The sequence below is a fragment of the Homo sapiens genome, chromosome X, assembly GCF_000001405.40.
Source record: "Homo sapiens chromosome X, GRCh38.p14 Primary Assembly".
NCBI classification, from domain to species: domain Eukaryota; kingdom Metazoa; phylum Chordata; class Mammalia; order Primates; family Hominidae; genus Homo; species Homo sapiens.
Window position 1 is genome coordinate 73670947 of NC_000023.11, and position 23345 is coordinate 73694291.

A 23345-nucleotide genomic window follows, 5' to 3' on the forward strand; every position below is an offset into this window, starting at 1 on the left:
TGTTCCATGTGCTGATGAGAAGAATGTGTATCCTGCAATTGTTGGATGAAATGTTTTGTAAATGTCTATTAGGTCTATTTGGTCTATAGTGCAGTTTAAGTCTGATGTTTGTTTTTTAAGTGCAGTTTTATAGTGCAGTTTAAGTCTCATGATGTTTCTCTGTTCAGATGATCTGCCTAGTCTCTCCTGGCCTGCAAGGTTTCTGCTGAGAAATCTCCTGTTAGTTGATGTGAATTCCCTTATATGTGACTTGCTGCATTTCTCTTGCTGTTTTTAGAATTCTGATTCTGACTTTGACAGTTTGACTATGATGTGCCTTGAAGACGACCTTTTCAGTTGAATCTCTTTTGGAGTCTTTGAGCTTTCTGTATTTGGATGTCTATATCTCTCCCAAGACTTGGGAAGTTTTCAGTTATTATTTCATTGAATACGATTTTTATCCATCTCTTCTCTTCTAGAACTCCCACACGTCAAAAATTTGTTTGCTTGATGGTGTCACAAAGGCTTTCTTTATTCTTTTTCCTTTTATCTTGTTTTTCCTGCCTAGGTTATTTCAAAAGATTTGTCTTCAAGTTCAGAAATTGTATTTTGCTTATCTAGTCTATTGTTGAAGCTCTCTATTGTATCTTTAACGTCATTCATTGAATTCTTCAGTTCTAGAATTTCTGTTTTGTTCTTTTTAATGATATCTTTGTTGGATTTCTCATCTAGATTTTTAATTGCTTTCCTGAGTTTTAAATCTTGTTTGTTATCTTATATCTCAGTTTCCTTTTTCTATTAGTATTTATTTATTTTTATTTTTTTGTGCTTGTTCTTTTTTTTTTAATTTTATTATTATTGTACTTTAAGTTTTATGGTACATGTGCACAACATGCAGGTTTGTTACATATGTATACATGTGCCATGTTGGTGTGCTGCACCCATTAACTCATCATTTACCTTTAGGTATATCTCCTAATGCTATCCCTCCCCGCTCCCACACCCCACAACAGTCCCCGGTGTGTGATGTTCCCCTTCCTATGTCCATGTGTTCTCATTGTTCAGTTCCCACCTATGAGTGAGAACATGCGGTGTTTGGTTTTTTCTCCTTGCGATAGTTTGCTGAGAATGATGGTTTCTGGTTCATCCATGTCCCTACATAGGACATGAACTCATCATTTTTTATGGCTGCATAGTATTCCATGGTGTATATGTGCCACATTTTCTTAATCCAGTCTATTGTTGTTGGACATTTGGGTTGGTTCCAAGTCTTTGCTATTGTGAATAGTGCCACTATAAACATACGTGTGCATGTGTCTTTATAGCAGCATGATTTATAATCCTTTGGGTATATACCCAGTAATGGGAAGGCTGGGTCAAATGGTATTTCTAGTTCTAGATCCCTGAGGAATCGCCACACTGACTTCCACAATGGTTGAACTAGTTTACAGTCCCACCAACAGTGTAAAAGTGTTCCTATTTCTCCACATCCTCTCCAGCACCTGTTGTTTCCTGACTTTTTAATGATCACCATTCTAACTGGTGTGAGATAGCATCTCATTGTGGTTTTGATTTGCATTTCTCTGATGGCCAGTGATGATGAGCATTTTTTCAAGTGTTTTTTGGCTGCATAAATGTCTTCTTTTGAGAAGTGTCTGTTCATGTCCTTCGCCCACTTTTTGATGTGGTTTGTTTTTTCTTGTAAATTTGTTTGAGTTCAATGTAGATTCTGGATATTAGCCCTTTGTCAGATGAGTAGGTTGCAAAAATTTTCTCCCATTCTGTAGGTTGCCTGTTCACTCTGATTGTAGTTTCTTTTGCTGTGCAGAAGCTCTTTAGTTTAATTAGATCCCATTTGTCAATTTTGGCTTTTGTTGCCATTGCTTTTGGTGTTTTAGACATGAAGTCCTTGCCCATGCCTATGTCCTGAATGGTATTCCCTAGGTTTTCTTCTAGGGTTTCTATGGTTTTAGGTCTAACATGTAAGTCTTTAATCCATCTTGAATTAATTTTTGTATAAGGTGTAAGGAAGGCATCCAGTTTCAGCTTTCTACATATGGCTAGCCAGTTTTCCCAGCACCATTTATTAAATAGGAAATCCTTTCCCCATTGTTTGTTTTTCTCAGATAGTTGGAGATGTGCGGCATTATTTCTGAGGGCTCTGTTCTGTTCCATTGATCTATATCTGTTTTGTTACCAGTACCATGCTGTTTTGGTTACTGTAGCCTTGTAGTATAGTTTGAAGTCAGGTAGCATGATGCCTCCAGCTTTGTTCTTTTGGCTTAGGATTGACTTGGCGATGCGGGCTCTTTTTTGGTTCCATATGAACTTTAAAGTAGTTTTTTCCAATTCTGTGAAGAAAGTCCTTGGTAACTTGATGGGGATGGCATTGAATCTATAAATTACCTTGGGCAGTATGGCCATTTTCACGATACTGATTCTTCCTACCCATGAGCATGGAATGTTCTTCCATTTGTTTGTTTCCTCTTTTATTTCATTGAGCAGTGGTTTATAGGTCTCCTTGAAGAGGTCCTTCACTTCCCTTGTAAGTTGGATTCCTAGGTATTTTATTCTCTTTGAAGCAATTGTGAATGGGAGTTTACTCATGATTTGGCTCTCTGTTTGTCTATTATTGTTGTATAAGAATGCTTGTGATTTTTGTACATTGATTTTGTATCCTGAGATTTTGCTGAAGTTGCTTATCAGCTTGAGGAGATTTTGGGCTGAGACGATGTGGTTTTCTAGATATACAATCATGTCATCTGCAAACAGGGACAATTTGACTTCCTCTTTTCCTAATTGAATACCCTTTATTTCCTTCTCCTGACTAATTGCCCTGGCCAGAACTTCCAACACTATGTTGAATAGGAATAGTGAGAGAGGGCATCCCTGTCTTCTGCCCATTTTCAAAGGGAATGCTTCCAGTTTTTGCCCATTCAGTATGATTTTGGTTGTGGGTTTGTCATAGATAGCTCTTACTGTTTTGAGATATGTCCCATCAATACCTAATTTATTGAGAGTTTTTAGCATGAAGGGTTGTTGAATTTTGTCAAAGGCCTTTTCTGCATCTATTGCGATAATCATGTAGTTTTTGTCTTTTGTTCTGTTTATATGCTGGATTACATTTATTGATTTGCATATGTTGAACCAGCCTTGCATCCCAGGGAAGAAGCCGACTTGATCATGGTGGATAAGCTTTTTGATGTGCTGCTGGATTCGGTTTGCCAGTATTTTACTGAGGATTTTTGCATCGATGTTCTAAAATTCTCTTTTTTGGTTGTGTCTCTGCCAGGCTTTGGTATCAGGATGATGCTGGCCTCATAAAATGACTTAGGGCAGATTCCCTCTTTTTCTATTGATTGGAATAGTTTCAGAAGGAATGGTACCAGCTCCTCTTTCTACCTCTGGTAGAATTCAGCTGTGAATCCATCTGGTCCTGGACTTTTTTTGGTTGGTAAGCTATTGATTATTGCCTCAATGTCAGATCCTGTTATTTGTCTATTCAGAGATTCAACTTCTTCCTGGTTTAGTCTTGGGAGGGTGTATGTGTCCAGGAATTTATCCCTTTCTTCTAGATTTTCTAGTTTATTTGTGTAGAGCTGTTTATAGTATTCTCTGATGGTAGTTTGTGTTTCTGTGGGATCGGTGGTGATATCCCCTTTATCATTTTTTATTGCATCTGTTTGATTCTTCTCTCTTTTCTTTTTTATTAGTCTTTCTAGCGGTCTATCAATTTTGTTGATCTTTTCAGAAAACCAGCTCCTGGATTCATTGATTTTTTTGAAGGGTTTTTTGTGTCTCTATTTCCTTCAGTTCTGCTCTGATCTTATTTATTTCTTGCCTTCTGCTAGCTTTTGAATGTGTTTGCTCTTGCTTTTCTAGTTCTTTTAATTGTGATGTTAGGGTGTCAATTTTGGATCTTTCCTGCTTTCTCTTGTGGGCATTTAGTGCTATAAATTTCCCTCTACACACTGCTTTGAATGTGTCCCAGAGATTCTGGTATGTTGTGTCTTTGTTCTCCTTGGTTTCAAAGAACATCTTTATTTCTGCCTTCATTTCATTATTTACCCAGTAGTCATTCAGGAGCAGGTTGTTCAGTTTCCATGTAGTTGAGCAGTTTTGAGTGAGTTTCTTAATCCTGAGTTCTAGTTTGATTGCACTGTGGTCTGAGAGACAGTTTGTTATAATTTCTATTCTTTTACATTTGCTGAGGAGTGCTTTACTTCCGTGTGGTCAGTTTTGGAGTAGGTGTGGTGTGGTGCTGAAAAGAATGTATATTCTGTTGATTTGGGGTGGAGAATTCTATAGATATCTATTAGGTCCACTTGGTGCAGAGCTGAGTTCAATTCCTGGGTATCGTTGTTAACTTTCTGTCTCGTTGATCTGTCTAATGTTGACATTGGGGTGTTAAAGTCTCCCATTATTATTGTCTGGGAGTCTAAATCTCTTTGTAGGTCACTAAGGACTTGATTTATGAATCTGGGTGCTCCTGTATTGGATGCATATATATTTAGGATAGTTAGCTCTTCTTGTTGAATTGATCCCTTTCCCATAATGTAATGGCCTTCTTTGTCTCTTTTGATCTTTGTTGGTTTAAAGTCTGTTTTATCAGAGACTAGGATTGCAAACCCTGCCTTTTTTTGTTTTCCATTTGCTTGGTAGATCTTCCTCCATCCCTTTATTTTGAGCCTATCTGTGTCTCTGCACATGAAATGGGTTTCCTGAATACAGCACACTGACGAGTCTTGACTCTTTATCCAATTTGCCAGTCTGTGTCTTTTAATTGGAGCATTTAGCCCGTTTACATTTAAGGTTAATATTGTTATGTGTGAATTTGATCCTGTCGTTATGATGTTAGCTGGTTATTTTGCTCGTTAGTTGATGCAGTTTCTTCCTAGCCTCAATGGTCTTTACAATTTGGCATGTTTTTGCAGTGGCTGGTACCGGTTGTTCCTTTCCATGTTTAGTGCTTCCATCAGGAGCTCTTTTAGGGCAGGCCTGGTGGTGACAAAATCTCTCAGCATTTGCTTGTCTGTAAAGGATTTTATTTCTCCTTCACTTATGAAGCTCAGTTTGGCTAGATATGAAATTCTGGGTTGAAAATTCTTTTCTTTAAGAATGCTGAATATTGGCCCCCACTCTCTTCTGGCTTGTAGAGTTTCTGCCGAGAGATCTGCTGTTAGTCTGATGGGCTTCCCTTTGTGGGTAACCAGACCTTTCTCTCTGGCTGCCCTTAACATTTTTTCCTTCGTTTCAACTTTGGTGAATCTGACAATTATGTGTCTTGGAGTTGCTCTTCTCGAGGAGTATCTTTGTGGCATTCTCTGTATTTCCTGAATTTGAATGTTGGCCTACCTTGCTAGATTGGAGAAGTTCTCCTGGAGAATATCCTGGAGAGTGTTTTCCAACTTGGATCCATTCTCCCTGTCACTTTCAGGTACACCAATCAGACGTAGATTTGGTCTTTTCACATAGTCCCATATTTTTTGGAGGCTTTCTTCGTTTCTTTTTATTCTTTTTTCTCTGAACTTCTCTTCTCGCCTCATTTCATTCATTTCGTCTTCCATCACTGATACCCTTTCTTCCAGTTGATCTCATCGGCTAGTGAGGCTTCTGCATTCGTCACGTAGCTCTCGTGCCTTGGTTTTCAGCTCCATCAGGTCCTTTAAGGACTTCTCTGCATTGGTTATTCTAGTTATCCATTTTTCTAATTTTTTTTCAAAGCTTTTAACTTCTTTGCCATTGGTTCGAATTTCCTCCGGTAACTCAGAGTAGTTTGATCATTTGAAGCCTTCTTCTCTCAACTTGTCAAAGTCATTCTCTGTTCAGCTTTGTGCCATTGCTGGTGAGGAGCTGCGTTCCTTTGGAGAAGGAGAGGTGCTCTGATTTTTACAGTTTCCAGTTCTTCTGCTCTGTTTTTTTCCCGTCTTTGTGGTTTTATCTACCTTTGGTCTTTGATGATGGTCACGTACAGATGGGTTTTTGGTGTGGATGTCCTTTCTGTTTGTTAGTTTTCCTTCTAACAGATAGGACCCTGAGCTGCAGGTCTGTTGGAGTTTGCTAGAGTTCCACTCCAGACCCTGTTTGCCTGGGTATCAGCAGGGGTGGCTGCAGAACAGCGGATGTTGGTGAACTGCAAGTGCTGCTGCCTGATCGTTCCTCTGGAAGTTTTGTCTCAGAGGAGTACCCGGCCCTGTGAGGTGTCAGTTCGCCCCTACTGGGGTGTGCCTCCCAGTTAGGCTACTCGGGGGTCAGGGACCCACTTGAGGAGGCTGTCTGCCTGTTCTCAGATCTTAAGCTGCGTGCTGGGAGAACCACTACTCTCTTCAAAGCTGTCAGAGAGGGACATTTAAGTCTGCAGAGGTTACTGCTGTCTTTTTGTTTGTCTGTGCCCTGCCCCCAGAGGTGGAGCCCACAGAGGCAGGCAGGCCTCCTTGAGCTGTGGTGGGCTCCACCCAGTTCAAGCTTCCCGGCTGCTTTGTTTACCTAATCAAACAACTAACTCAGCAATGGCAGGCACCCCTCCCCCAGCCTCACTGCCACCTTACAGTTTGATCTCGGACTGCTGTGCTAGCAATGTGTGAGACCCTGTGGGCCTAGGACCCTCCGAGCCAGGTGCAGGATATAATCTCCTGGTGTGCTGTTTTTTAAGCCCGTTGGAAAAGCGCAGTATTTGGGTGGGAGTGACCCGATTTTCCAGGTGCCATCTGTCACCCCTTTCTTTGACTAGGAAAGGGAATTCCCTGACCCCTTGTGCTTCCCGAGTGAGGTGATGCCTCGCCCTGCTTCGGCTCGCACACGGTGCGCTGCACCCACTGTCCTGCACCTACTTTCTGGCCCTCCCCAGTGAGATGAACCCGGTACCTTAGTTGGAAATGCAGAAATCACCCGTCTTCTGCGTCGCTCACACTGGGAGCTGTAGACCAGAGCTGTTTCTATTCGGCCATCTTGGCTCCTCCCTCTCAATTTTCTTAAGATCATTTTTAATGCCTTTTTCAGGAATTTCATAAATTTAATTTTCTTTGGAGTCTGTTGCTGGAAAATTATTGTGTCCTTTTGGAGGTTGTTTTTTTTTTTTTTTTGTCCTTACATTGATATCCACATCTGCTATAATTGCCACTTCATTCATTTGTATGGAATAGCTCCCATAGAGAACGAGTTTTTCCTGTAGATGTATCTATAATTTTGGTTGGGTAGGGTGCTTTGGCTTTGGTTCTGCATGGGCAGCACAGTGTAATCTCCTTAGATTACTTCAGCTGTAATCAGTTTCAGCAGTGTCTTTGAGTTCCTTAGTGGCTCAGGCTGCAGTTGATTGTGGAGGCTGTGGTAAGGCTTTGTTTGGGACAGCAGTGCCAGGTAGACTGGTCCTCAATCCCCTAGATAGTGCATGTGGGCACTGACATTGGCTTGCCCTGAGTATGTCAGTCTTTGGACCATGGGTGGGCCATGCAGGTGTAAAAAGTGGTGGCAGCAGGCCCTGGGTGGGCCAGTCCTCAGGCCCTCCCTCAGGGCATGCAGGTCCCAGTGGGCCAAGAAGTTTGCTCTTCAGGCTCCCAGGCCAGATAGTCCCTGGGGTCCTGGGGGGAGGACGTAGGTGCTGGCAGTGTCTGCAGTGGGCCAGTGGGTGGGTCCATTAGTTCTCAGGTAGGGCACACTGGTGTTGGCAATGTCCATGATGGGCTAGGTAGGTTTCATCTTTTATTTTAATGTTTTGAAAAGCTTTTTTAACATTATGTACTCCTTACAAAATATACAGATTCTAAATGAAGAAACTCAGTCTCTGTCCCCCTCTTTGCTACATTACTGCTTCTCTGATTTATATTTTTCTAAGTATAAGTTTTTCCACTGGCTGTTTTTAACATGTTCTTTTCAGTGGAAATTCTGATATATGTTGGCTTTCTTTATTCAGCCTATAGACCTTGACTGAATGCTATATGACAGGTATTGTGCCAGGAGCTGTGGTAGGAAAACTTTCCATGAGAAATTAGATTAGCTTGGCATTAGATGATTATTTAAAGTAATCCTAAGACAGTTATGTGAAAATCTAGATTAAATTCATAAATGGACTACTAAAATCTCAACTTAGTATATAGTTTAGGTTTTCACAGTAGTCCAGTGGATGGCCTCACAACACAAAGAAATTCATACATATTTCATTTTAGAAAGCATATATAAAAATCTGATTGATTGATTGATAGGTAGATAATCTTATTATAATAGTCATCCAAATCTTACTCCTTTTTAGCATTTTCTGCCACTGATATTGCTTATTTCTCATTTCTAATAGAAAAACAAGGAGATAGTAATGGGATGTTACAAGTAGGCAGAAAAATATAGATGCACATAGTTTACAAAGCTCTTCAGGTCATCTTGTAACAAAGTCTTGATCATTTTTCTTAGACCAGAAGATCAATTCAGAAGTTAATAGAATGGGAAAATAACAGATTATATCACAAGGTAAGAAATTTTAAGCACATAAGTGCCCCATTCATATATTTGCAGCATTAAATTGAAAAATAAATACAAAATGGGAATTTTTAGGCCACAAAGGAATGGATTAGAGAATTAATACTCAATTTTTAATATATATTCTTTACAAGGTATTTTTAAGTGCTCTGTTTTGTATCCTGTACTTTTCCTGGATTGTTTTCAGTGATTTATTCAAATGTATAGGTTGTAATTAGTTTAAGTTAATATAAAAATTCTTAACAAGACTATACTTTCTTAGCTTGCTTTGCACTGGAAGTTGACTAAGAGGAAATGTGAAACTAGCAATATGATGGAGTATGTAAGTATGAGGTTGTTTTTAATTATTTTTTTATTCATTCTAAATGTACCATTTTCCTGTGTTTATCATTTGTCAACTATTCCTTCTTTTTTCTCCTCAGCCAGAACTTTTGTCCATTGAAATATAGAGGTTTTCTTCTATCTTCTTTAGATTTGTAGCCAACCTAAAATATCTTGAAAGCTAACAATCATTTGGATCTTAGAAAAGTTTCAGTTAGTATGCTAAAATGAAAACATTGTACAACCTTAATCATTTAACATAGGCACAAACCATAGCATGTGGTGGTGGGGAAAGCTGCTGTTGAACAAATATTTCTAAATGTAATCTTGTCAAAACTTGCATAAAATAGGAGTTGATATCTGCATTCTGGATTCCTATTACTGGCTTTTTTTTTTTTTTTTGGCTGACATTTAACTTTTAGTGAAGAAACTGTAGGTTCTAATTTTTGTTTTAACTGAAAGCTATACAATCTTAGTCATAAGACATAAATTCACATATAGCCAATGTGATCAATTTAGCATAATTAACATTGAAAATATTACATTTATCCAAACTTCCAATATGTAGTACATATTTAATAATAAACATTCCATGTGTGTTTCATAAGTAAGGATTATTATGGTATCTCTCTACACTTTGAATAATTTTGGGGAAAATATGCATATGACCACAAGTCTAAAATTCATTATAGATAAAACATTCAAAAATATCCGAGTTTTTTAAAATTATGTTTTCAAACCTTTTGTAATTAATATGTTTTACTCAATCCATTTGGGCACATTAATTTTTCACAACTTGTGAACGATAGTAATCTCCAACTAATATCAGTTTCTTTAATTGAAAAATATATAAATCTAATATAAAGGCATTTTTTAATCTGTATAGCATTTTTTTAATCTCTACTTTGCTAACAAAGAGATAGGGGTGTGGGGGAAAAACATAATATAATTTAATGGAGTTTGCTCCTGTTAACCTAGACAAATAGTTATTGTAAATCAGATAGTAAAATCTGTTAGCTACAATAAGTAGTTTTGTTTGCCAGCTTAATTTTTAAATTGCCAATCTAATAACAACTTGTGGTTTAAGTTCTTTACATATTTTTTTCATGTATTTCACTTACTTTATATGGTTCAGGATTGAAATATTGTCCTATGAAAAATGATTATAGACTTTCTGGGTTATTTATAAGTTATATTAAATGAAAAATATTTTGTAAATATATTCTTGTTTTTATTTTGCAGGTAATACTAATAGAATTCTTACCAAAATATCCCATATTCCGACCTGACTGAGGAGTTTTATCCAGTCACTTCTGTGTTACCTGTCATTTCCTACCCTTAGTGCCTTGTAGATTTGGAATGAAGATGGTCTCCTTTGCTGTGTTCAACTTATTCTTTATAATGGTAGAATATTCTTCTCGCTCTTTTGTGTTGGTTTATGAAGAAAATTTGCACATCTTTTTTGTCTTTCAATGAGGCTTGTGTTTTGCACTCTCAATTTTAAATACACACACATGCGTGTGTGCATATACATATATAGATAGTTGCCATTAAAGATAAATCATCAGTGTTGGTGTTTAAAAAACAAAAACTTGTTCTGAGCATGCTGCCTTATAATTTTCATACTCATTGTTTCTAAACTCGCATCATTTTTCTAGGCTACTTGATGCTCTGTAATCCCTTACTGGACAAACTTAAATAAGCTTTTGGTAGCTTTTAGAAATGGTTTTACTCTGCTTTTAAAGGACATGCTTTTAAAGGACATGCAATTAATGGCACTGGTTTTGTCCTGCACTTTGCTTTATCACTTATGTTAGTGGATAAAATATTTAAACTCCTAAAGACTTGTAAATATTGCCTCTTTGCATAATGTAAAATGTGGTATGCCATGGTTTACATAATGTAACATTACTCTTATTGTATTGCCAACAATTTTACATAGATTTTAATATGAATGAAGTTTGCAAGCATCCCTTTGAATGTAGAAACTGCTAACATGCTGTTTTATGGCAAGGCCATAATGAGTATGTTAAGAATTTCAGGTGTAGGGCAAGGTTGCCCTTTGTAACAAGTGGACTAAAATTGAAATTATTATCTCAGATATTCTGTATTGCACCTGAAACCATGACCTTTATTTTTCCATTTCGTTTAATAATTTCCATTTTGTTGTCTACTCCTTCCCACAAAAAAACTATTTGACATCTGACACATTTCACAGTCTCACTATCCTGCATTTATTAGCCTTTTCTTCCTTTGAAAATACACACAATTATGACTTTTAAGGAGTATTTTGAGATTTCAGACATCTTCAGAAGGTATCTAGACCCTCTTGAAAGCCACTAACACCTTTCTGCAGTTCTGATATTCTAGTTTGAGAAAGAGAGAGAACTATTTGAGAAGCTGTAGCTAAAGAGTATATAGCAGCTGATTCATAATTGAAAAAAAATTCTCAATTCTGTTTTTGATGATCCTTTATAAAACATTAATGAGGAAAGACAAGTGTTTAGACAAAAGTATTTTAGTTTATAAATTCAGCACATATGTAACATTTATTTGGTCCATATTTCTCTATTTTTCTTCACAATTAAAATGATTGCTAGCACCACACAACTAGAATTTGAAAATTCAGTATAATGAAAGCTTTATATCACATTAATTCAACTGCAAATGTATGCCTGTTTGTAGGCATTATTTGTAATTCATAGTGCTAAAAATAAAAGTGTCTAGGGCTCAGTAATATTTTGTCATCTTACTCTTACTGCTTTTAGTAAACCTTTTAGGCAAGATTCATCTCAGTGAAGTGAACAATCATTTCTTCATAGAAGGTCAAGCCTTTTTAAGCCACTCTTAAAATTTATGCCTAATTTGAAATCCACAGTCCTTGACCAGTTTAAAAAAGAGAGGAAAAAGAAGACACTATTTTATATGTGATTATAATTGTTTGCACAAACACTTTTCCACCTTCCTCTGTGCCCCATTACCTCTGTGCCACTCAGTCACCCCAAATCTCTAACCTTTAGTAATGTGTATGCCTGCAAATATTATGTGTTTGCCTGCTGCAAAATTGAAGGTGTATTTTTATAGACAAGGTAGAAGCCTCTGAAAATGTATACCAAATGTCTTGTTTTGTAGCTAAGGTCGGGAAAAATTGTATCTGAGGTTTATGTTCCAGCTAATGTTATCAAATTTATGCTTCAAACTGTGATATTTTAATACCAAAATCGATTTTCAGCATAATACAAAATATCTCATTTTCACTGATAGAAAATTGCTTTTAAGTGTTGATCCTTAGAAATCTTATTTTTTTCTATAACCTTAGAATTTGATCATATGATGGTCATAGGAACTTTTTCTGCCATGTATAAATCACACTTGGTTTTGCTCAAAGAACAGCATGAAGTGGTGAATTGTTTCCATGAAACAATTATTGAGAATGGGAATACAGTATATCTGGAAATGACACAGTATAATACAAGTTACAGTAGCATTTGTCACAAAAACCACTTGTCAGCATGTGTAAACTTAATTTTAAAGCCTATTCTAATCACTCGAGTTTATTATTTTATTGTTCGCTATGCTGGTTGACTCATCTTAGTTTCTTCAACTACCCAAAAAAATACCAATTTTTTTCCTCTCTTGTATGACTACTTTTTCAAACTGTTTTCCTTTGCAGGGGGCTGATTAGCAATTGAGTATTTTGTAATGTTTGGGCGGGGTTGCTTTGTTTTCAGTGAAATTGGTTGCAGTGAATGCTAAAATGACACAGCACACTGGTGATTAATTCCTCCCCCATGGAGCCTTTTTTCTGTTATGCTTAGGATAGAACATACTTGTAATTTTCCATTAGGTTAGTAACATACTTTTGTGAAAGTTGTTTTTAGACTGAAGAAAGTAATTTTGAATTTCTTTGTTACATAATATTCCTTTATGAAACTTGTGATAGTTTCCAGAGCAAAACATGTATTTGCCAAAGTATATAAATCTCACAAGGCTTTAAGATTACAAGCTAAAATTGTTTTTTAAAATTAATGTTCCAATGTTTCTCATTTGGCCCAAGATTCTGGCTTCATAAATTTGTCCAACTGGCTATTTTTAAGCTTGTCCTAAAAGCCAATAACATGTTTATTCCTAATAACTAATATGGGCAAGTGTTATTTACAGATTTATTAACTCCATCCCAGATATGTCTCCACTCTTTGTTCCCTCCTAATGCTAATTTAGGAAAGAGACCACTGTAGTAAAACTTTAGAAGAAGATGGAGAAGTGCCTTGTCTTTTTAGAACAAAGATAACACATTACGTGTAAGGAAGCATAATAAATGAATTGGTAGATGATTAGATTAGAAATCATCCTTTTCAACTAGGTCTAAGAATACTTTACTAGTGTATTATCTTTTATTTATTATGTAAAGCTTCTTTCCTTCCTTTTCCCCAATCATGATATATTAGTGACAAAATATTACAGAACCGGACTATCAGTCACTTAAAAAAACAGTATAATTCTAATGCTAGTAAACATGTAATTTAATTTAGTTCTGGAAGGACAGTTGTCTTTGATTAAAGCCCCACCAAAACCCATTTAAGTATTTAATGTACATACTATTCATATTATTATGGCCTGTAAACACTAATATCTGAGCAATCAAACTGTTTTATCTACCATTTTTGATGAAATTTGAATAAAGTTTAAAAACGTGTAAGCCTTTGAACAAATGTATGAAAGCTTTAAAAGATCATTAGCACTTTTATTTTGTTTACAAATAAGCTGCCATTTAAAAAAATAAAACCTCACTACTTGAACATAAAGCTCCCAAACAATATTGTATTAAAATGTACTATATTGACCTAGGAGGATATAGAAATTATATTCACCTGATTAACTGGAGCAGTTTCACATAGTAGAAATACTTTTTGCTAATTTGATTATAAGTGCTCAAATTTATTGAAATTAGATTCTCATGCCTATAAAAGTATACTTTAAAAATATTTTGCAACAACTGTCAAATTATTTGGGTTCCTTTAAATAGCAAACAATTGGGAAATTTTCCATAAAAATGAATAGGTTTTATTAATACCTGTTCATGTAGTATGTGGACTAAAACAATTGATATATATCTGTATGTAAAAATGAATGATCTTATCTTGCCCCAAATTTTTCTTACCTGATTCTGAGCCAGCCTTTTTGTTTTGATGGCACCCTGTGAGTATGTTCCATTTTCTGTGAACTTTGTCAAATTCATACTATATGAGGAAATGATCTAATATTGTGGGCTCCAGGCAGGTCATCTTAATTGCATGTCTGTCTCTTCTGTAAAATGATGAGGTGGAACCTAGAGCTGGACAAAAAATTAGAGATCACTTAACATTCTGTGATTCAAGGAATTCTTAGGACATTTTTACTCTATAGAATCTCAGAATGATTATTCTCAGATCTACTGTCCTTGGTGGAAACTCTCACAGTGCCTTGCATGCAGTAAAAGTTTGATTTGCCGACTGGCTGACGTGTTAATTATCACACAGACTCCAAGAACCTGATGCTTGCTAGACCTTAGTTCCTTGGTGATGCTAAGAGTAAATGTAGTTTTCCTAGGAACTGAGCACTGAGGTCTGTGTCCTTTGCCTGTGTAGAATCTGTCTATGCAGTTGGTATTCAGGCAAGAATTTTAGCTGTAACAACAATGGAAATATTGGAGGACCCACTTTGGCATTTATGTAAAGATTTCATATCCTATCCAACATTTACTTTAGTGTCTAATCAAATTCCATACCCTCAAAAAGATCTGTTGGAACAAATTGATAAAATTAGGTGGAAAGGAAAGTGGTATGGGACTCAAATACAAGTCACTTCTGGTTTAATTATTGGCTCTGCTGCTTAATTCCTCTGTACCTCACGTCCTCATTGTCGAAGTGGGGACAATAATCTGGACCTACCTCACAGGGGAATTGAGGATATTTTCATATATTAGTGTGCTTTGAAGTTGACTGAAAGATATACTGGATATCATAATTATATAATTTCTAAATAGATTTCTTTAAATCCATGCTATGTTTTCTTTTTCAGTCAGGTCCTACAGAATGACTATTGCACTTGGTCTATTGTTTTAATAGTAAATTTTGTTATTAATCTCCTATGTGTTAAACGTGGGTAATTGTATTATGTTAATACATACTTAGGGAGGAAAAGCAGGTGGATGTAAATCAGTGATTCCCAACTTCAGCAGATGATAGCAGTGGAGGGTATCCTTGAGCTTTTTGTAATATTTCAAAAAGTATATTAGAAATTATACATTTACCCATAATATTCCTGCTTCACAAGTCAATTAAGACATTGAATTTCCATTCATTTTGCCTATATTCTCTCAAAAGCTGTGAATGGCAGTATGTTTTTGATTAATAATAAAATAAGAAATCCTATTATGTGCAACTTATTAAATACTTGGGAACATGGGAAAAGAATAATGAAGGGATTCTTATGGTGAAAATGTTGGGAACCACTTTTATAAAGGAACTAAGATTATTTGACCCCCTCCACAGATTGCTTACCTAGTCTCTAAATAATGAAATGTGTGTGTTTGTGTGTTTTGGCTATATTAGGCTATATAACTTCAGGTTAGAATTTGCCTTCAGTTTTTTTTCTGTTTTAGAATATCACTGGCCTAATTTATTTAGGTGTGTACATGTTGCTCATACATACACACACATATAGGATTACAAATGTGGAAAATGTTATAATGTCATATTCTAGCATTGGACTAAATATCAATTTCTGACTCTTAAAGTAGTTCTGTGTATAAATTCAACATGATGAATCAAGGCAATAATTTCTCAAATGTTCTTTTATTTCTTTGTTTTTATCTCGACTTTTTATTTTCCATTTTTTCTAGTACGCAAATAGTGTAAAATTGTTTTAATGCCTGGACTTTGAAACAAGTAACAAGTGTTTGAAAGTATATAATCTACGAGCGAATTTGCCCTCCTTGGACTAACCACATACAAATATGAATCTGGCTGCAAGAACAGGATATCCAGGTAACTAGAGAGTGGGCATTGATAAAAATATCTGGTGGAGAAGCCTAGGATTTCAACTTTTTGTCAGAGGATTCCTGTTGGGACAGCTTTACCAGAAAAGAATAATAGCGGATATGTTCATCCAAACTAAGAACTTTCATGCATCTTGCATTGTTACATAGCCTGTGGAATGAATTCATTTTTTCTCCCTTGAGTCCAGGAATGACTTCCCTGGAAAAACTCAATCTATATACAGCTGTGCCAAAATGAAGGATACCTGCCTCTCCGAAACTTTCACTGCTGCTTCTGTCATTGTTCACTTGTCAGATAAAATTTTATTATCTCAGGATGCAAATTTAAAATAAAGTGTAAATCTATGTTAATGAATTGAATTCTGTGTTTTTTTTATGCATCTTCCTTTCTTCCCTTCCCTATATGTCCATCATTATAAGGCAATTAATTTAGGCTTCCTTTTAAAAATTGCATTTTATATCTGGCCTTTTTCCACATATACTAGTGTTAACGTTCAATCCTGTAAGTATTTTATGCTATAAACACATGCCTCAGAGAAGTGTGAATTCAGTTCCAGACAACCAAAATAAGTCACACAAATTTTGGGGTTTCCCAGTGCATATAAAATTTGTGTTTACACTATAATGTAGTCTATTAAGTATGCAATAACATTATTTCTTAAAAAATGTACATATCTTAATTTAAAATATTGTATTGCTAAAAAAATACTAGTGATCATCTGAGCCTTCCATGAGTCATAATATTTTTGTTTGTGGGGGGTCTTGCTTCAGTGTTGATGGCTGCTGACTGATGGGGCAGGTCATTGCTGAAGGTTAGGGTGGCTTTTGCAATCTCCTAAACTAAGACAGTGAAGTTTGCCATATTGCTTGATTCTTCCTTTCACAAGAGATTTCTCTGCAGCATGCAATACTGATTGATAGCATTTTACCCACAGAACTTTCAAAATTGGAGTCAGTCCCCTCAGACCTAGCTACTACTTATCAACTAAGTTTATGTAATATTCTAAATCATTTGTTGTCATTTCAACAGTATTCACAGCATTTTCACCAGGAGTAGATTCCATCTCAAGAAACCACTTTTTTGCTAATCTGTAAGATGAGCATCCATTCAAGCCTTATCATGAAATTGCAGCAATTCAGTCACATCTTCAGGCTCTACTTCTAATCCTCTTGCTGTTTTTACCACACCTGCCGTTACTTCCTCCACTGAAGTGTTGAATCACTCAAAGTCATCCTTGAGGGGTTGGAATCAATGTCTTCCAAACTCCTGTTAACATTGATATTTTGACCTTCCATGAATCACAGATGTTTTTAATGGCACCTAGAACAGTAAATCCTTTCCAGTAGATTTCCAATTTACATTGCCCAGAGATCGATCAGAGGAATCACTATCTATGGCAGCTATAGCCTTACAAAATGTATTTCTTAAAAAGACTTGAAAGTTGAGTTACTTGTTGATCCGTGGATTGCCAAATCGATATTGTATTAGCAGTCATGAAAACAACATTAATTTTCTTGTACATCTCCATCGGAGCTTGGGTGACTAAGTGCATTGTCAATGAGCAGTAATATTTTAAAAGGAATCTTTTTTATTCTGAACAGTAGGTCTCAATAGTGGGCTTAAAATAGTAAGCCATGCTGTAAACAGACATGCTGTCATCCGGGCTTTGTTATTCTATTTGTAGGACACAGGCCGAGAAGATTTAGCATAATTCTTAAAGGTCCTGGGATTTTTGGAATGATAAACGAGCATTGGCTTAGCCCCTAACAAGAGAGTCAGCATGTCCTTTGAAGCTTTGAAGCCAGGCGTTGACTTCCCCTCTCTAGCTATGAAAGTCTTAGATGGTGTCGTCTTTCAATATAAGGCTGTTTTGCCTACATTGAAAATATGTTATTTAGTGTAGCCAACTTCATCTATGATCTTAGCTAACTCTTCTGGATAACTTGTTACTTCACCTTGCACTTTTATAGAGAAAACTTCTTTCCTTCAACTTTATGAACCAATCTCTGCTGGCTTCAAACTTTTCTTCTGCTCCTTTCTCACCTCTGTCTGCCTTCATAGAATTGAAGAGAATTAGGGCCTAGCTCTGGATTAAGCTTTGGCTTGAGGGTGTGTTGTGGCTAGTTGGATCTTTGATCTTCTATCCAGACAACTAAAACTTTCTCCATATCTGCAATAAGGCTGTATTGCTTTCTTATCATTCATGTGTTCACTGGAATAGCACTTTATATTTCCTTTAAGGCATTTTTCTTTGCATTTACAATTTGCTAACTCGTGAAAGAGGCCTAGCTTTCACCTTCTCTCAGCTTTTGACATGCCTTCCTTGCTAAACTTAATCATTTCAAGCTTTTGATTTAAAGTGAAAAACATGCAACTCTTTTTTTCACTTGAACACTGGGAGGCTATTTTAGGGTTATTAGCCGGCCTAATTTCAATATTATTTTGTCTCAGGGAATAGGGAGGCCTGAGGAGGAAGAGAGCTGGGGAAACAGCACATCAGTGGGGCAGTCAAAACACAACATTTATTAAGTTTGCAATCTTACATGAGTGCAGTCCATGGTCCCCCAAAACAATTACGATAGTAATATCAAAGATCATTGATCATAAATCACCATAACAGATTTTAATAATGAAAAAGTTTGAAATATTTTAAGAATTAACAAAATGTGACAGAGACATGATGTGAGCACATGCTGTTCGAAAAAAATGGTGCCAATAGACTTACTCAATGCAGAGTTTCCACAAATCTTCAATTTGTAAAATCCACAATATCTGCAGAGCACAACAAAATGAAGCACAGTAACATGAGCTTTGCTTGTATATTGGGTTTGGAGACCTGTGTTGTTCCCAGCGTTTGGCATTTGGCTAAGTAGGAAGTTATTTCTAAATGACTTTGCATTTACCCTGCATAGCTACCTATAAACTGTAAAATTTAAGTATAAGTATAGTTCCACCTTATTGAGCATAAATTTTTAGTGCAGGGATGTGGAAATGTGAAGCTACTTGGCAAACGTTTTGACACTTCTTCAGACTGTGTAAGAAATTCAAGTGTTAATATCTTCTACTTCAGTTACTACTCAAGCTGATTTCATGCAATAATAGATTTTTTAAGGTTATGCCTAATTTTTGCAAATTCAACATATACAAGACAAACATTAATATTTCCCAATATATTTGGTAATTTTACCGAATATTTCAAAAAGATTATAAATTTCAAAATGTTAAAGCAGAGATGATAACACACTTAAACTTATATAAAAGTTTCATAATTATTTAAATTTTTTTTCAAAGCTTTATTATATGGATGGGGCAAAAAAGCATACTTTTATTGATGACTTCTTAGATGTGAAGTAGAATATGCTATGTGGGAAATACTTTTACATTCAACTTTACATTGAGGGCAGAAGCCACATGACATTACATCTATTATTAAATACTTAGTGCTTCATAAGATACTTCACTTACATAAATGTAGGAAATTCTCTGGGGGATAGTAGAATGCTCCAGTTATAATTACTAGGAATTTGAGTTAAAATCCGTGGTCACCTAGGTTACCTCTAGCGAAAACTTAGTACACTCAGTGAGCCTAATTTTGTCTGTCATACCCAAGGTAGGAGGTTGAGCTAGATCAAGGTTGTAAGCTGAGCTGTATCCAGTCCTCAGACATGTGTTTTTGACATACAGAATTTCTTTTACACATCATAACAAACTTAAAAGTCTTCATATAGAAATCCAGATTTCTGGCTTTCTTTGAATTTCACATATGGACAATTAGCTAGAGCTGAGTAACAGCCTGTCCCTTTTAGATGGAAGATTTATTTTCTGTTTTGCCATGGTCACCACCATTCCCTCTTATCTTTCTGAAATCCAAGTTTTCTTATGATTCAGTTAAAAGGAAAGCAAAATATTTCTTAAACCCATGTTCCTTTCAATATCAAAAAAATACAGACCATGATAGCTACATATATTATTTACAAAAATTGAGGGAGATGGAAATGAAGAGACTGCTGTGTATGTATGTGAAAAGGAAGCATTTTGAAAATGACCTGCTTCATTCATTGTTGTTATCTGGTGATTGTGGGCACTGGATTTCATGATCCCTGAGATCCCTTAGAGACAATCTCTAAAGTCTCATCTAATTCTGACATTGAGTTTCCATGAAATGATTCTTAGAACATTGGGGTATTTGAAATCGTTATGCCTTTGAAAGTGTGTGTATGATGATGAATGGATGCTGTTTATGAAACTTGCTAAGCTTTCAAATAGAATAGTGACATCACAGACTCCTTTTAGTGAAGCATAGCCACAAGCTGGGAAGACCAACACATTATTTTAGAACCGTTTTTTTACTTCATATCTTTTCAGCAAAAGTTTGGTCAGCCACCCAAAGCAGCATTGGCTTTGTTATCTCCCAAGGGTGATATTGCCCAAGGCGATATTAACATGGTTAAAAAAACTCTTGGTGGGAATCTATAAAACCTGCCTTTTATTTTCTTATGTGGATAAGACTACTGATTGGGATTTTTTTCTTACATTACATTGAACCAAATTGGCATTAATCTAAATGAAAATTTCTTATTTCAAAAATAGGCTTAACTCATTAAGTTTAGACACTGCAACCAGGACTAAATTAGGGTTTTTTTTTTTCCATAAGGCCTGTATTAGTGTCTGATGAATGAGAGATATGGCTGTTAACAGAATTTTTTCTTTATTATAATAATACATTTTCTAATAGCAATTATGAAGAAGAAAATTAATATCATTAACCCAACCATCTACTGCCATTTTAATGTTTTAAAATTGCACTGTATTACTTATGTATATGCATATAGTACTTTTTAAAATTTTTATTTTATGTTCCAGGTGCAGAACGTGCAGGTTTGTTACATAGGTAAATGTGTACCATGGTGGTTTGCTGCACCTGTCAACCCATCACCTAGGTATGAAGCCCGGTATGCATTAGCTATTTATCCTGATGCTCTCCCTCCCTCCCTGCCCCGACAGGCCCTGGTGTGTGTTATTCCCCTCCCTGTGTCCGTGTGTTCTTGTTCAGCTCTTATGAGTGAGAACATGTGTTTGGTTTTCTGTTCCTGTGTTCGTTTGCTGAGGAGGATGGCTTCCAGCTTCGTCCATGTCCCTGCAAAGGACATGATCTCATTCTTTTATATGGCTGCATACTATTCTATGGTGTATATGCACCATATTTCTTAATCCAGTCTATCATTGATGGGCATTCGGGTTGGTTCCATGTCTTTGCTATTGTGAATAGTGCTGTAATAATCATACATGTGCATGTATTTTTGTAATAGAATGATTTCTAGTCCTTTAATAGTAATAGTTCCTTCAAATGTAATGGGATTGCTGGGTCTATTCCTTTACTAGTAATAGTTCCTTTAATAGTAATGGGATTGCTGGGTCAAATGGTAGTTAACTACATTGTCTATTGAATATTGGTAGTTAATTATATATTAACTACCAGTACATATATAACTGGTAGTTAATTATATATTAGTATATACCATTAAATTATATGTTAGTATATACCAGTAAATACTGGTAGTTAATATTATTAACTACCAGTAAATATGTAACTGGTAGTTAATTATATTGTCTATTGAATACTGTTTTTACATTTTAACATTTTTCCATATATCTATTCTTCAAAACTAAATTATGGTTATATAGCAGCACAATGTGTGAATATACTATAATTTCATTATTTCCCATTATTTGGTATTTCGTCAGTTTTCAGTATTTTACGACAATGAATAATGACTTCATGAGCATCTTTATACAGAAATCTTTGCCTCAATCTGATCATTTCCTTCATATTGGTTTCTATAAATTGATTATTGGTTGAATGAGTATGAAGTCTGTATTGCAAAATTGATTTAGGAAAGGTGTGGGAGATACATTCTGAAACTGGGCATGTCTTCTGCTGGATAGATGAGGAGAAATAAGAGCAGGAATTAACAGACACATTACTTAGAGCTGCTAATTGGGGCTGGGTGCAGGCAAAAAAAAAATGTAGGAATAAAATTGCCAAATACACACATAACAATACTAACCTTAAATATAAATGGGCTAAATGCCCCAATTAAAAGACACAGACTGGCAAATTAGATAAAGAGTCAAGACCAATTGCTGTGCTGTATTCAGAAGACCCATCTCACGTGGAAAGACACATAGGCTTAAAATAAAGGGATGGAGGAATATTTACCAAGCAAATGGAAAGCAAAAAAAAAGGAGGGGTTACAATCCTAGTCACTGATAAAACAGACTGTAAATCAACAAAGATCAAAGAAGACAAAGAAGCGCATTACATAATGCTAAAGGGATCAATGCAATAAGAAGAGCTAACTATCCTAAATATGTACCCAATACAGGAGCACTCAGATTTATAAAGCAAGTTCTTAGAGACCTAAAAAGAGACTTAGACTCACAAATAATGATATTGGGAGACTTTAACCCCCCACTGTCAATATTACACAGATCAATGAGACAGAAAATTAACAAGGATATTCAAGACTTGAACTCAGCTCTGGCCAAGGAGAACTAATAGACATCTACAGAACTCTCCACCCCAAATCAACAGAATATACATTATTCTCAGCATGTCATGGCACTTCTTCTAAAATTGACCACATAATTGGAAGTAAAACACTCCTCAGCAAATGCAAAAGAATGAAAATCATAAAAAAAAATCTTTCGGACCACAGTGCAATCAAATTAGAATTTAGGATTAAGAAACTCACTTAAAACAGTACAACTACATGGAAACTGAACAACCTGATCCTGAATGACTACTGCGTAAGTAACTAAATTAAAGCAGAAATAAATAAGTTCTTTGAAACCAATGAAAATAAAGACACAATGTACCAGAATCTCTGGGACACCACTAAAGCACTGTTTAGAGGAAAATGTATAGCACTAAATGCCCACAAGAGAAAAAAGGAGAGAAAGAAAATTGACACCCTAACATCACAATTAAAAGGACTAGAGAAGCAAGAGCAAAAAATTCAAAAGCTAGCAGAAGACAAGAAATAACTAAGATCAGAGCAGAACTGAAGGAGATAGAGACACAAAAAATCCTTCAAAAAATCAATGAATCCAGCAGCTGGTTTTTTGAAAAGATTAACAAAATAGTTAGACCACTGTCCAAACTAATGAAGAAGAAAAAAGAGAAGAATCAAATACACACAATAAAAAATGATAAAGGGGATATCACCACTGATCCCACAGAAATACAAACTACCATCAGAGAATACTATAAACACCTCTATGTGAATAAACTAGAAGACCTAGAAGAAATGGATAAATTCCTGGACACATTCACCCTATCAGGACTAAACCAGGAAGAAGTCGAATCCCTGAAAGGACCAATAATAAGTTCCAAAATTGAGGTAGTAATTAATAGCCTACCAACCAAAAAAAGCCCAGGGCCAGATTCATACCTGAATTCCACCAGAGGTACAAAGAGGAGCTGGTACCATTCCTTCTGAAACTATTCCAAACAACAGAAAAAGAGGGATTCCTCCC

The 23345-nt window shown here is 35.8% G+C and overlaps 1 protein-coding gene across 3 annotated transcripts in view, besides 1 other annotated feature; it reads left to right on the top strand.

Moving 5' to 3' along the window:
- The window catches only part of CHIC1 (cysteine rich hydrophobic domain 1), a 123964-nt gene extending 107799 nt beyond the window's left edge, over positions 1-16165 (top strand). For 2 of the 3 annotated variants that reach the window (NM_001039840.4, XM_017029583.2), the window contains 3 exons: positions 8380-8436; positions 8708-8767; positions 10009-16165. In NM_001039840.4, the coding sequence (NP_001034929.2) occupies positions 8380-8436; positions 8708-8767; positions 10009-10059 (168 nt within the window). In that variant the 3' untranslated portion in view covers positions 10060-16165. The remainder of the gene's footprint in view (positions 1-8379; positions 8437-8707; positions 8768-10008) is intronic. The other variant, NM_001300884.1, reaches the window with a different exon arrangement.
- Positions 960-1135: a silencer, noted in NCBI's record as "fragment chrX:72891741-72891916 (GRCh37/hg19 assembly coordinates)". NCBI's record gives its function as "represses an EF-1alpha promoter that drives an FKBP-Casp9 reporter gene in an ReSE screen in HepG2 liver carcinoma cells {active_cell/tissue: HepG2}" and the evidence as "EXISTENCE:reporter gene assay evidence [ECO:0000049][PMID:32094911]".